This window comes from Homo sapiens, chromosome 5 (assembly GCF_000001405.40).
Source record: "Homo sapiens chromosome 5, GRCh38.p14 Primary Assembly".
In the NCBI taxonomy this organism is placed as follows: domain Eukaryota; kingdom Metazoa; phylum Chordata; class Mammalia; order Primates; family Hominidae; genus Homo; species Homo sapiens.
Genome location: NC_000005.10, coordinates 109,798,765 through 109,814,790, shown reverse-complemented (window position 1 = coordinate 109,814,790; position 16,026 = coordinate 109,798,765). Strand labels below are relative to the sequence as shown.

The 16,026-nt window shown below is 35.5% G+C and overlaps 1 protein-coding gene across 5 annotated transcripts in view; it reads right to left on the bottom strand.

Moving 5' to 3' along the window:
• The window catches only part of MAN2A1 (mannosidase alpha class 2A member 1), a 179,699-nt gene that overhangs the window by 54,835 nt on the left and 108,838 nt on the right, over positions 1 to 16,026 (bottom strand). Inside the window, exon 13 of one of the 5 annotated variants that reach the window (XR_007058604.1) lies at positions 10,514 to 10,637. The exons of the other annotated variants lie outside the window; for them this stretch is intronic. The gene's annotated coding sequence lies outside the window, so the exon portion shown is untranslated. The remainder of the gene's footprint in view (positions 1 to 10,513; positions 10,638 to 16,026) is intronic. 5 annotated transcript variants of the gene reach the window in all.

The window sequence follows — 16,026 nt, the reverse complement described above, 5'->3', positions numbered from 1 at the left end:
AAAAAGTACTCATACTTAATGCAAACAATAATTTTAACCATATATTTGGTTTTGCACCCTATTAAATCACTTTTTATAATAAGCTATGAACTAGGTTCTATTTTGTTTCATTTTAGTAGCTAATTAGTATTTGACCATAACGATGTTTCTACTGTACTGAATGATTATGTAATTATCATGCCAGGAATCTATTCAAAGACTAAATGTGTAGAGTATATAATGAGTATAATGTTGCACTAAGAAAATAATTTTTAACATGATTAGAGATTCACAGCATGTTTTTTATGTGCATCACAGAACAAATTTATCTGACACACGAACTCCTATCTATGTACATTTTAAGTAGAGTACAGAGAAAGGATGATCATATATAGATATTTCCTTTGGAAATAAGTATACAATCATAAATAACTTAATTTTCATTGTCATCACATTTGGTAGTCAAACATTTGTTATACTGCCAATATCCCCAAACATGAGTCCTTTCAGGCCCTCTAGTTGTGAATGAAACCAATAGGTTTCAGTATATCATAATATCATACTCACTTACTGAAAATTAACAATATTTGATCCACATTAACAAAAGAATTATGTTTATATCTTCAGAATGGGGAGGGTTAATTTCAATTTTAGCTGTAAGGTCAGTGCTTTTTTCTTCTCCAATTTCCACCACATCAGCATTAGCTTCTTACGTATCATCTGTCACCAAGTCACGTCCAGCCTCCTAGTTCTCACTGTGACATTGGGCCCCCATAATTCAGGGTTATGAGCAATTATCTCAGTTCTCCATATACAAGGAAAAACTCTCACCTCATGAAGAAAAAGCATTCATATGTTACCTGCCAATCAAACTAGAGGGCAGAAGATAATCTACTTTGGCTGGAGAAAAACGAATGGACAAAAATGAAAGAACATCTGTATGCTCCTATCAAACTGGGAATCACTTTATGGAAGAATCCCAGTGTAAACGTGGCTGTCCTTGAAGATTCTACTGAGGATGAGTATACTAAAAATTCCTTCACCTTTCATAGAAGTAATTCATATCATGTTAAAAAAGACAACTATGGAATACTGAATTTTCTCTTTGAGGTAAATCTAATCAGTGCCCACTAAAATGTGAACAACAGACTGGGAGCACACAGGCTTCCTTCTAGGACTGGCTGCAGTACAAAGTGGAAGGAACATGCCCCTTGGTCAGAGGGACCTTCATTCAGAGTGCATCCTGCATGCCTGGGCTGGTCCTCAGACCTGCATGGGCAACCCCTGTGGGGCAACCTTTCATTCTTCTCACTGGACATATAAGGAAACTGAGGTTCAACAAGAGCAGGAATGTTGCCAAGACAGGCCCAGGTAAAAAGTGCCACAATAGGGCTTATAATGCAATTTCACCTCCACACCCATCTTCTTAACTACTTCACTCACAGGCCAGGCATATAAGGATCTTTGTGACAGTTGTGACAGCTGAAGTTTCCTGTGGAGATTCCCTTAGTTGCATCCAAATTCAAATGTGAAGAACTTTCTCCTTAGCAAGGCCAATATCCCCAGAGAGCCTCTCTCCTCAGGAAGCTCAGATAAGCAATAAGCTATTTACATTTCAAGTATATTATATTTGTGAAAGAAAATTTATATACTGGAACACTGGAACAGAAAAAAACTTGCAATATATACTAAGGAGTTCATCTCATGACCTCACTGCATGAAGTAAGCAAAAACGATATTTGAGGAAACATTTTAAAAGCAACTTACATATTTTTATGATTGTGTAATGAAGATTAAAAAAATACATATTTTTTCAAGTTCTTTATAAGTGCACTTTAAAATCAGTTAAGCAAACACCAAAAGGCATATGAAAAATAACTGTAATTTCATGTGCTTACTATAGGTACCTAGCACAGAATAATGTTCAGTAGTTAATGAATCATCAGTGCAGAAAAATACCACTAGGAGAATTTATTACTTGTAAATAGTATCTACTGATGTGGGGCTTTATAGTTTTATCAGAGCAGTTCCATTTTGATTATTTCAATTCCTTAAAAAGTGCTTTTCAATTCTTCGAAAATATAAATTATATAATTAGTCCCTTTGTAAAGATGGGGCAAATGGCACATTCAATATTACAAAGAAAGTTAAGAATAAAGCAAAAATTAGAGCTCATTTTGTCTGACTCTTAATCAATGACAACATATTAAAAAAATCATTTCAAACAAGAATGCATTCATCTTCTCTAAGTAGCCTCATTAGTGGAATATAACCTAAAGAAAAACATTAAGCTTTATACAGTATTCTGAATATGGAAACATGAATTTACATGTTAACAGAAGTTGCAATATCTAGATTTGAAGTTCTTTTGATATATACCATTTTGTTTTCTAGGTTTAAAATATAATGCTTACCATATTGACAGGAAAAAATTCAAGACCTTAAAAACTAAGAGTGTCTTTTTGAGTTATACTAGATCTTCAAAAATCACAATTGTGTGATTCCTGGGCTCTTGAGTCAGACACATTCAAACTCAAATCCCCACCATGTCACTTAGAGTTTCAGAGGCTTTGGACAAGTTATTTCACTTCCCCAAGACTTAATATCCTCATCTATAAAATCGGGAAACAAGATTATTGTTAATGTTAAATTATAAAATGTTTAGAAAACCACCTAGCTCAGACCAAGCACAAAAAAAGAATCTCAATAACAATTCACTTCTCTCCTTTCCCTTACAAGACTCTCATGGTATCCTGACCAAGGACCCTGGCACATCATCACACTGGGTAGTACAGTGAACGATTTAACAAACCCAGGTCAATGAGCTGTCATAAATCCTTTTTTTGTGTAAGGCATGTATAAATCTAAATAAAGGAAATTAACAACAGGTGATAATACAGATATCTTGAAACAAGAATTCTGATAACATGGTAGTGGTGAGAATACACATTCAAAGTAACCACATGGCTTATGGCTAAGTTAAAAAGCAAGCAAAGAAAGGAGAGAAAGATGCTGTATGGTATGTGTAGTTATAAACTTATGAATATGAATACATAATCCCAGTCAACAAAGTACCTACAGTTTAGGAGGGAGAGGCACAGAAACAAACTGGTAAGTTCAATATAACAGGGTAGGCAATAAGACAAAGGTATGTAATAGCATGTCATGGGATGCATACGTATGCATGCAGACACACAGACACAGACACACACACACACACACACACACACACACACACGGCTGTTAGGAAGATTAACAATCTTCAGGAGACCAATCAAAACAGAAAATTAATTTTATACAAAATGAGCAGAATGTATAATATACGCAGAAAATGAAAAAATGTCACTTAGTAGAACATAAAAATGAATGGAGAGACATATCTTTCTAAATAAGAAAACTAAAATAATGCAAAAGCACAACTCTCCCAAAATTCATTCGTAAGTCTTATGCAGTGCCAACCAAAATCCCACTGAATTTCATTTCTTGGAAGAAAGGTGAGGGAAGGAAAATGATCATGAGATGGGCAAAACAATTCTATAATATACATACATCCTTAATAATAGATGAGCAAGACAAATGGTTACTAGATGCATTAAAACAATATGTCAACACTGATTCCAGATAAATGTAAATTTTGAAACATAAAAAAGATACAAAGTTAGTAGAAAAAATAAATATATAATCTGTGGTACAAAAGGTCTTTCTAGCCATAACTGAAAAATACAATGAAGTAAAAGGCTGACAGATTTGGTAACAAAAAACTAAAAATTTTTCTATCTTAAAAATGAGATTAAAGAACAAAAACTAAAAAAAAAAAAAATAGTAAAACTTGTAAAGTGCTCTTATAAATCAACAGAAATATAAACACTCTTTTGAAAAAAAGGTGAGCACTTTATTTTTGTCAAATTGAAGTTGAGAAATAAATGATGTTTCCACTTCCAGGGGAAATGGAGTAGCTGTCAACAAACAAGAGCTCTCACTTCTACTAGCCAACTAGAAAAGCCAGATAAAAAATAATAATCATTTGCCTGAGGGCAACAGAAAAACTGCTGAAGAGAGGAAAAAACTTCAGAAAAGTGACCAGCCTTCTGCAGTCATTTTCACTCTGGGGCATGCCAATTCTCAGCAAGGGAGAGGCTGTGAGTTCCATGCAAAACCTAGTGGAAAGTCTGGAAGAAATCACTGGGGAACAAAGAGATCAAAAGAGCATTTTGTGGAGACTTTGGGAGGCTTCAGGTACACAGTTGATTTTTTCATTACGACAAGTGCCAAATACTGAGGCTGCGCAGAAAGGGAAGCTTAAAACCTGAACAGAAAGCTTCTGAAAAGTAGAGCAGAGACATCTCATGACATTCCAGAACCCACCAGGGGATAGGGCCTACAGAATATAAGCAGGCTATTAGTTGAAAAATTACTTAGAAAGCCAGGTGAACAACAGGTTGAATAAATCAGTCTCAATTTAACATAGTCCTTGATTGGAACATCTATCTAGAAGAAGATATTTTCTAGAGTCTCTCTAAATTTTATGCACAATTGTCTAGTACTCAATATGAAATTAAGAGGCATCACAAAAGACAGAGCCACGTGACTAAACACCAAGAAAAAAAGAAACTAGAACTATACATGACCCAGATATTGAAGTTAGCTGACATGACTTTAAAATTATAATTAATATGGCCAAGGAAAGAGAAAAACATGAATCAAGTAGAGGACAAGGTAGAGAATTTTACCATAGAAATTAACACATTACAAAATAATCAAATGAAATTCTAAAAGGATAAATATTTACAGTTAAAAACTCCAAAGATATCTTTAACAATAGCAGAATAAATATATTTAACTCAGCAAAAGAGAAGTCAATAAAAAACATACAAATGGAAGTGGTGAAAAAAAGAATATGCAATATAGAAAAGAACGTTAGGGACACAGGGAACTCAGTGAAAAGATCTAATATGTGAAATAGGATATGTGTAGATGGAAATAAAAGAGAAAATAGCACAATATAATTACCTGAATAGCTGAGAATTTCCCAAAACTAAGGAAAGGGACTAACCCACAGATACAAAAAAACTCTGTGATCCCCAAACGGAGAAAATACACCTGGTGTGTCATGTTAAATCCCCTATGAAAAGGCAAAATCTGAGAAGCAGCCAGTAAAAATAAGATTACACTGTTCAAAGAAGCAACAATAAGATCATCAGCTGACATATCAAAATAATTAAGAAAGCCAGGAGAAAATGGAATTATATATTTGAGGTGGTGAGGAAACAAAAAAATACTGCCAGCCTAAAAATCTATATCCAGCAAAAATATCCTTAGAAAATGATAAAAATGCCTTCAGAGAAACAAAAACTGAGTGTATGGGTTACCAGCAAACTTGTACTGAAAGAAACGTTAAGTCTTCAGGCAGAAAGAAAATAATATCAGAGGGAAACATGAGATTGCAGGGAAAAATGAAGAGCACAAAGAGGGGTAAATATATAAGAAAATATAAATGACAACACAAAAAAACACAAAAGTAATAATTTCAATTAAACTATAATAAGTCATCTATGCTTTTCTATGTAAATACTAAAAGAATATTAAAATCATCTATAAAAGATGGCAAGAAAGAAGAGAAAAATAACTTGATGACTTACCAAAATATTAGCAATACTTATTGTTAGGTGGCAGCATTATAATTATTTTTCATACTTTATACATTTCTTATATCTAGCATTTATAATTTTATAATCAGAAAAAACTATAACTTAGAAATAGTCTGTCTTTCAATCCAATGATTCCTACTTTTAGAAATTTAGTGTAAGGAGGCCAGATGTGGTGGCTCATGCCTGTAATCCTAGCACTTTGGGAGGCCGAGGCAGGCAGATCACCCGAGGTAAGGAGTTCGAGACCAGCCTGGCAAACATGGCGACATCCTGTCTCTACTAAAAATACAAAAATTAGCCAGCATGGTGGTGCGTGTGTGTAGTCCCAGCTACTCAGGAGGCTGAGGCACAAGAATCACTGGAACCCAGGAGGTGGAGGTTACAGTGAGCCGAGACTGTATCACTGCACTCCAGCCTGGGTGACAGGGTGAGACTCTGTCTCAAAAAAAAAAAAAAAAAAATTAGTGTAAGGAGAAAAACAGAAATATAGTAAACAAAAAATATTTAAACTATTTCCACAGCTAAGCAATGTAAATATCTAAACAATACTATTCAAAACATTATATTAGCTAATCAATATAATATTAAATTGAGGGAACACATTAACAATTAAAAGTATACTTACGTACTAGAATACTAATAGCCATTAAATATTTATAAAGAATTTTTTAAATACAAGAAAATGTTTGTTGCATTATTAAATACAAAAGAATATTCTGAATTATATACAAAGAATAAGCAGTGAAATATAAAAATATATAAAATTCTAAAAAGAAACTGTTGTTAATAGTTACCTCCTCTAGGTTCTAGGGTTATCAGTGAATATGCTAGAAATCCTTTTAATAGCTTTGGATGTAAACACTATTCTACAGGAAGTTACGTGTTTATTAGAAAAATTCAGAACAATAACAACATCAAAAACAAACAAATTTTTTAAAGGGCAAAGGAAGCAGGGAAATCCTTTTCAGTAATAAAGACACAGATATACGGGAAATAATGTTATTTTCAAGATATACAGGCCACTACCACTAGACGCTACACAGTAAAGTGCATCTCTAAAATGCAATTATATGAAGTTAGAAAAGTAGATAAAACTCAAGTCATAGTGGGGAGTGGGTTGTCTTTTAGTCATTACAAGGAGCTTGGAGCTTTTTGTGCAGTTGATGGAAAAGGTTTAACATGGTCAAATTTTCCTTTTTAATACCTATTTCTAGTTGCCAGGCAGAGAAAGAACTTAAGGGGTGAAGGCTCAAAGCAGGACGGCGAAGTAGATAGCTTCAAGTTGATAGCTTAGGCAGGAAAGGTGAAGACAGATAGATCCATTTTTCCACTGGAAATTTAAAAATCAGATTTCCAGGTATGATAGGGAGCATAATGACCCCAAGATGTCCATGTCCTAATTCCATAACCTATGAATGCTACCTTATATGGCAGAAAAGACTTTGCAGATGTGATTAAATTACAGCTCACGGTATGGGGAGCTCATTCGGGGCTGTCTAGGTGGGCCCAATGTATTTACAAGGGTCCTTATTAGAGGGACGATCCAACAGAGAAGAAGACTATGTGACAACAGAACCAAGTGGATGGGATATACAAGGAAGGGGCCACAGGCCAAGCAATGCAGGTCATCTCTAGAAAAGGAAAAGGCAAAGAAATGATTCTCCCCTCAGAGCCGCCAGAAGGAACCAGCCCTACCAATATTTTGTTAATCCAGTGAAAATGGTCTTGAACTTCTGACCCCCAAAACTATAAGATAATAAATTTGTGTGTATTTTTTAGTAGAATTAAGTTTGTTGGTAATTTATTATAGCAGCAACAGGAAACTAATATACCAGGTTACACTATTCCTGTTGAAAATGAGGACTAACTTCCAGTTTCATACCACCAAGGATATATAAAAGAAAATCCTGAGTCCTGGAAAACAGGATGGAGGTGGGCAAAGAGTAACAAGCAAGAAGAGCTTGGGGTCCTTGGAACTGGGACCAAGCAAAGATTAAATGAAGTGGGTCTAGCCCTTTGCCCTCTCTCCTGTATTCACAAGGGAAAAATTTTAAATGATGGTTTCTGGAAGCTACTAGCTGGTTAAGTAACAAATATGGCCTGCTCTTACAAGAAAAAAAAATTCAACGCTAAGGTACAGAACACTCTTTCAGCAATAAAAATTAGAATTTTACTTGGATATAGTAGTACATAAATGCTACCCTATCTTCCTAATATATGAAAGTTTATTTCACACCTTTCTCTATATTTAGGAGAAATCATTCTTAAAATCATGGACAAAATATTATGAGCCTATCATCCCATGGAGAGCCATTTGTCCAAGGAAAAGATTCAAAAGGAAGGTAAACAAGCATGCTGCATGTGTGATCAAATGCAAATATAAAGTTGTCCTTCACAAAACAGTATGACCACAGTACCTAAAATTGCTGTTGGCAACTAAGTGATTGCTGCAAATACCTTATTCTCCTCAAATGCAAGAATTCCACAAAATATTACTAATAAACTTTTAGTTTCTAAACTAAGAATGGCAAGGAAAGTATGATATTATTAAGTAAATATTCTAGAAAGCTCTATGTTAGAAAATATTACTGGGGCAGACAGTTATGTTTGTTTATAATACTAACAGACAAAGCAGTAAGTCAAATATAAAACTGTATTAAAGGAATATTTTTGCTATATTTAAGTAAATGACTTAGCTCGTAGCAGAGTTTTTCAGATGTTATGGTAATCTTAGCAGCTATGATGATAATAATACCAACAGCTAGCACTTAATTAGCCTTAAAACAGTGCTGAGCAGTTACTTTACAAGCCTATTTTACAGAAGCATAGAATGGTTCTGTATCCTACTCATGGTTATGTAGCCATAGAAATGGTACAGCCAGGATTCAAACTCAATCCGTCAGGGAGTCAGAGACAGGGAAGGTGACCTGCTGTCTCCCTTCAGTGGGTAAGGCAGTCAGGGTGCACGTGCTAGAAGCACTGATGCAGCAACTAGAGCACTCAGAATCCCATTACCCTCCCCCTGCCTCTCTGAACAGAGCCTTATCAGACTGCTCTATATTCACCCCAGCAGAGAACCTTCACTCCAAAGCCTCCCCACCTGCAGTGCCAGGAATGGGGTAAAGGAGTTTTCCTGGAGGTGAGGATTAGGCTACTTCCCCTGGTTGCTATGATGACAACACAAGCGGTTGTTTCACTACCCAGTTCTGAATTTCTGTAAGAGGTGGTAAAAAGAAAATTTGCTACATAATAGGTCTTCATTTTGGAATACTGGAGATATTTTGGAAGACAGATTATCTTATGTCCCAGTTACTGGAAACACTTGGTTATTGTCCACAGTAGTCTCTTCCTCAAAACTTCCTTTCCTGGTGTTTATCCAAATGATTGCTTTATAAATGATTAATACTTAGACAAGAAAACCAAATGTTAACTGGATGTGACCTCGGGGATTACCTATTAATACCCGCCAAATATAGAGAGCAAATGAAACTGAAGTTCCAAAAATATGAGCTGGTTAGTGACAGAGATGGGGCTAGAATCAGTCCTCTGACTCTCATGCAAGGGTCCCTTCACAACACTGTGCTCCGGAAATTCCAGGCATCTGACAGTGAGATCTGCCTAGAGCTCAAAGGCATGGAAAGAACAGAGTTGGTATCAATGTCCACAGAATTTGTAGTTGCAAATGCAACTTAAAACTACAAATGAAAATGTTAACCCTCAAAAGTAGAACTACAAATTTCAGGAACTTTTCACAATGCAAAAAGCATTTCTAAGACCATAAATGTAACCGAAGCAGAATAAATATGTGGACTTACAATTTTTGTAAAGAAAAGATTGAAAAATTTTACAACTATTTCCAGTACACAACAGAAAATAGTAAAGTCAAATAAAAGAATAAATATTCCAAGTATTCTAAAACTTTTGATATTAAAGCAACAAAAACAAACACAAATTGTATATAATTTGGCTGACCCCAAGAGTCTTGTCACCAATTAAGTTGCTTTCTCTGAGTTTTGCCTCAAACAAAAATACCATCTGTTTTACCTAAAACATTAAGATGTTCTATTTCCTTGTCAATTCAGAAATCACATCTGTAGCCATTTTCTGAAAAGACAGCAAAAGACATTATATTTATGGGTGACTGCATAAGGAATGATGTTCAATCAAAATGTAATTTTCATCTACTGGAAGAAAATTCATTTCTCCAATGAATATAACTCTGTAACTTTGGAAGAACACATAGTACATAAACAACCTAATTTTCACAAATAAAAAGGACCTTAAAAAGTTAACAAAGTAAAATAAGACTGTTTTGTTGTTAAGGACAGAAATGGCAAAGATGTTTGTATTCACTGTCTATATCTGTGTTGACAAATGAAATCTATCCTGTGTGAGGTTTCCAGGTGAATAGAGGAGAAAACAACAAATTTTTACTAGTGCTACATCTCTTCACATTAGTAAGCCATCATATGACTGGTAAAAAATATGAAAACAATAAAACACAAACCACTTTCTACTTTCAAAGTATTTTTAGAAACAATATTGGTCCTAGGAAAGACTCCCTACTATACAACCCAATGAACCGATTAAAGATACAAAACACTAGAGAAAACATCACTCACAGTGAATGCAAACACAATGTCACAAGGGATAAAAGAACACATTTCAAAGAAAAACACACAAGCCAACCAACTACCTGTAATATTTTGAGTATATATTAAGTACCTACAACAAATCTGAAACCCTATGTTTCAGTTTGAAAAGTAACGCGATTTCACATACAATTGTCTTGCCTAAAAAAAATAAAAATTTTAAAAAAAGCGCTACTCTCTGAATAAGGATGAAATAAATAAGTCCAAAGGCTCTATTTAAAATGTTTCTTTTACCACAAAGTTGTGAGGTGTTCTGAAGTCCAAGATGGGCTTGAAGCCCTCCCTGACTTTTTCAGGATCAGGATACCTTCACTAAAATCCTTTTCCTTGTTCCTCTTGTTGTGCACGCTTTATTAATCTGCATTTAGAAGGAAAAAAAATCTAGTTCAGAAGAGTGGAAGACTTTGAAATATGCCACATCACTTTAGTCTATGTTCTGAACTGCTTTGGGTTAATAATTAGCTTTATGTTACTATTTCAGAAGACATGATGGACACTGGGAGGAAAAGAAGTGGAAAGTGGACAGAGAACTAAGTTTGCAAGAAACTGAAAACAATAAGCTACTGAAGTAATCTCACGTAACCATCAGTTACTCCCACCCCAATAGAAATCATTTTTTAAAAATCACTCATACTCCAGATATTTAGTTTACTTTAACATTTTCACAGTACTTTATACAACTTCAAGTGTTGGTGCTACAGCAATAGCAAAACAGAATCATTCAAAATTTATATTATCTAGCAAACACACCAAAACTAACACCAGCTATTCTTTGACACCACCTCGTCTTCTTTTCAAAGTTTTTCTTCAGTTACATACAGTTATGTATTTCCAAATATCTTAACTAGAAATTATTATAATCCTTTATCCATTATACATGGTACTTTCCATGACAATTCTGCCTTCATATTTTAATATATCAAAATACCTCATCATAATTCTATATATATGAGCACCTGTTTTTCCTCCCCATCATTTGCATTTTCTGATTATGGTCCTTGATGGATGAAGATGTTATTTATAAGAAACAAGCAAAATAAGTTTAATCTCACCACACAAAACACACAATTAAAACACACTTTGCAAACTGAATTCACTGTATAATAATCTGACAATAAACTAGAACCATGCAATTAGTTAATTAAGAAAGTTTGACTTAAAATATAAACAAAATCAATTAAAACACAGACTAACCAGGCAATTTAGCAGGTGGTCTCAGAACATTAAGCTACTCTGCCTTTATTTTTCAAGAAATAAAAATAAAAAATATAACTTTAAATGCAATCTATCTGTTTAATTACTTTCACAAATAAAATCTAAAAGAATTTTGTACCTAAGAACAAAATCATAGCAGACTAAATTATAAGGGCCTGGTAAGGAAGATTCTTTTAAAGTTCATGTGAAATTGAAGAAAAGAATGATTTAAAATCCTATGCTGTTAAAGCACTAAGGCAAATCCCACACTGCATATCACTTAAAAATCAATGTGTGAGACTGGTAATAGCCTAATGACAAACACTTTTCTTCGAACTTCTAAATGACAGTAAAAATATATATTTAATTATATTGTATTAGGTAGCCTATCATAAACTTTAAACTGCCTGATGCAAGAAATGCAAAAAGCATTATTTTAGGAGATGCAAGAATAGAACGATAAATCTTTTGAAAAAATGAATTCAGATGATGAGGGAAGCTTGAAGTATAATTAGGAAGCTACAACACTCAGTAAAGTCAAGGAATGAATTCTCGCAAAGAAAAAAAAAGTCAACACCTAAATACCTACATGTTTAGAGAATGTGGTACAAAAGGGTGAAAAGCACTGCTCAGCTAGCAAAGATTTCTTAAGAGACAGACATTTTTGAACAGATTTTTGAAATGATGGGAATCAGAACAAAGAAAAGCTGAGGCACCCAAGTATGGATGATAGTAACAATCAATGCCATTTAGAAGAATCAAAATGGTTTCTGCTATAATGCATCTTTTTAGGAAGCTTGCTAATTATTTTAAGCAATTTCATAATTCGCCCAAACCAATACTCTACAGAACTACAATCTCTAAACTGTGAAATCCAAAAAGCTCTGAAAAAATCAAAAGCTTTTTTATAACTCATTTGGTAGTAAATCTAAACAGAACTGACATGAAGCTTTATAGAATCTTTATTTTTTGATCGGAACATTCAGAAATTTCAAAGGAGACTGTGCAATAATATGCCACATATGCACAGTACTTTCCTAAAATTAAAAAGAATTCTGAACCCTCACATACATCTACCCCTGAAGATTTCAGGTAAGGCACTGAGGGTTTGTCTTATGGGCAGTCTACACAGTACAGTATAAATCACAGGTCACTTAGAAAAGAGACCTTGCCTGTGTAGGTTCTGAGCAAGAAAGAATCAAGAAGAAATGAAAGAGGCAAGAAAATATGAACACATACCAGTACAGTGCTGCCCAAGACAGAAATACAAAGTAAATTTGTCACTGAATGAATGAATGTATGAATCAAAGAATAAGGAACTATATTTTAACATAGGCCCACATAGTCCTACAAATAAACAGGAAATGTTTAAGAATAAATATTCTATTTTCTTAATATTTAAATAACCCAAATCTCAATTGTATATATATGCTCTTATTTTATGAGCTTTTCTTTATCTCTTTAAATTTTTAATTTTGCAGCATCTAATTATGTTTTGGTTTTAGAATATGTAGAAAATTTTTCAGTTTCATTGTGTTTGGTATGATTTTCCTAACTGATAAGTCTTGAGAACATGTTTTAAAGACATTTCTAACAACCATTACTGATTTATTCAGTATAGACCTGCTCCTAGAGTATTCAGAACACAACTCCAGTCCCTGAGCCGAAGTGGGCAAGGAAGAGTAGCTGACAGAAAATCTGGTAGCTGCTTTTTGATCTAGTTAATGAATCTAATTTGCAGATGCTGCTCCTTCCTACCCAACAACCATTATCTCTTTCTCCTTTATTGATAGAAAGCCAATTTTATTTAGGATGGCAACAGTCATAGCTTAAAAAACAAAATCAAAATGAACAACAAAAAAAACCTGCTTCCCCATGCTAGATGCAGACATGTGGCACAGTTCTGGACAATGACATGTAATTAGAATTCCAGTATGTGGAAATTCTGACAAAGTTACTGAGTCCCCAGTTTATCCCAACTGCCATGACCTTCCTCCTTTGCTCATCCCTCTTTCTGGACGAAACACAGATGTACTGTATGTAGAAGCAGGAACCATCCTGAGTTCACAAGAACAAGAGCCACAGGCTAACAGTGGTAGAGCTAACAGGTAAAAGCAGCCTGGACTTTTGACGGCACCATGGAACCCATCATGAGCCCTAACTACCTGCCTTGAAACTTGTCCATAAGAATAATAAAAGGCTTTCTTCAGAAGCCATTGTAATAAGGTTTCTGTTGTATGCAGTTCAGTGCAATACAAAATGAAACACTATACATACAAGAAGTCATATTGGGTAACAAAGGAAAGCCAACAAGTACAAAAAACTTCACCTTTAAAGAAGAAAACAATGAATGCGAGATGATTCTAAATCAAAACTTTTCCCATAAGGGTTCATCACTATGGATAAATTATTTAATTGCCTAATGATTACATGACTTTTTCTCATAATTTTCACTCTCTCCACCTCCAATTTTTAGTTATTAGTTTAGCAAACACCTCCTATGTACCAAGCACTTCTTCCATATTTCACTCAACCATTCACAACTTCAATTCAAACAAGTCATCTTCATTTACTCCATAAAACTTGAAAACACAAATTTCATAAAAACTTAAGTTAAAATCCCAGAATTTACCAGCCCTATGTTCTCTATTACAAAAAGAAATGCTAATTTAGGCATCTTTTAAAAATCTTTCTATATAACTTACACATGTAGAATATTTGACCAATTCATTACTGATAAACATTTAAGTCTTTTAAAATATTTGTTCACATGATAAACAAAGCTGAAATGCACGTCCTTTTCCAGAGTTCTCTCCACCTCCATATCTGATTATTTCTGCAGGACAGATTCCCTCTAGTGCAATTCCTAGCTCAAATGCTACTGGCAGTAGGTCATTTTCCTTAAAGATTTGCTAGGCACCATTTTGGAATAATGAACAAGACCAACCCATACCGGCAAGAGGTTTATAGCAAGTCTCTTCAGAGGACTATTACGCAGGCATTTAGTGGGTAAACACAGTCCCATGGAGTCATATGAGAACACTACCTAGCTTCAAGGATCTCAACCAAGTTTCCAGAGGATGTAAGATGTAACATCTAAGCTGAGTTCTAAAAGACAATCAGAAATTTATCAGGCAAATGGTGTATGTGTGCATGTGCATGTCTGTGTGTGTGCACATTCGGGTGCATCTAGAGGTGAAGTCTGAGGTTGTTTTTTTTTTTTTTTTTTGAGACAACAGTCTCACTCTGTTGCCCTGGCTGGAGTGCAGTGGCGCAATCTTGACTCACTGTAACCTCCACCTCCCCGGTTCAAGCAATTCTCCTGCCTCAGTCTCCCAAGTAGCAGGGATTACAGGTGCATGCTACCACTCCCGGCTAATTTTTGTATTTTCTGTAGAGGTAGGGTTTCACCATGTTGGCCAGGCTGGTCTCAAACTCCTGACCTCAGGGGATCCACCCACCTCGGCCTCCCAAAGTGCTGGGATTATAGGGTAAGTCACCATGCCCGGCCAAGATTGGAGATTTTTTGTTGTGATTTGGTTCTTTCGCTTTTTTTTTTTTTTGAGACGGAGTTTTGCTCTTGTTGCCTAGGCTGGAGTGCCATGGTGCAACCTCGGCTCACCACAACCTCCACCTCATGGGTTCAAGTGATTCTCCTGCTTTAGCCTCCCAAGTAGCTGGGATTCCAGGCATGCGCCACCATGCGCAGCTAATTTTGTATTTTTAGTAGAGATGGGGTTTCTCCATATTGGTCAGGCTGGTCTCAAACTCCTGACCTCAGGTGATCTGCCCGCCTTGGCCTCCCAAAGTGCTGGGATTACAGGCATGAGCCACTGCGCCTGGCCTGCTTTTTTGTTTTTTTTAACCCCCCAGGTAGTAAAGATGTAGAGGTAATATAACAAAAAATGGAGTGTCCAAGAATTGATAGTTCTCTGAATTTTTGTGTTCTGAATAGAGTCATTGTGGGGCTGGAGCACATAGTGCAGACTGAGCTGATGCAAGAGATGATGCGAGAGACAAAAATACAGGCACACAAGCCACGTTAAAGAGTCTAGAGTTTATCCTTAGGGTAATGGAAAAAAGAAGGGTTTTGAGCTAAGTTACATCATTGCTAATATTAGTTAAGTGCCTGCTAAGCGCTAGGTCCCATACTATGAAGTTCATACACATAACCGTATTAAACTCCGCCAACAAATGTGTGAGGCAGGGACATCTGTCACAGGGTTATTACCATCACCCAGTGGAGGGACAGTAGCAGTCTGAAGCAGGGTAGTAGCATTGAAGATGAAGAGGACAAATTTGAGACACATTTAAAAAACAGAATGAGGCTGGGTGCGATGGCTCACACCTGTAATCCCAGCACTTTTGGAGGCTGAGGTGGGCGGATCATGAGGTCAGGAGATAGAGACCATCCTGACTAACACGGTGAAACCCAGTCTCTACTAAAAATACAACAACAACAAAAAAAATTGGCCCAGTGTGGTGGCGGGTGCCTGTAGTCCCAGCTACTCAGGAGGCTGAGGCAGGAGAATGGTGTGAACCTGGGAGGCGGA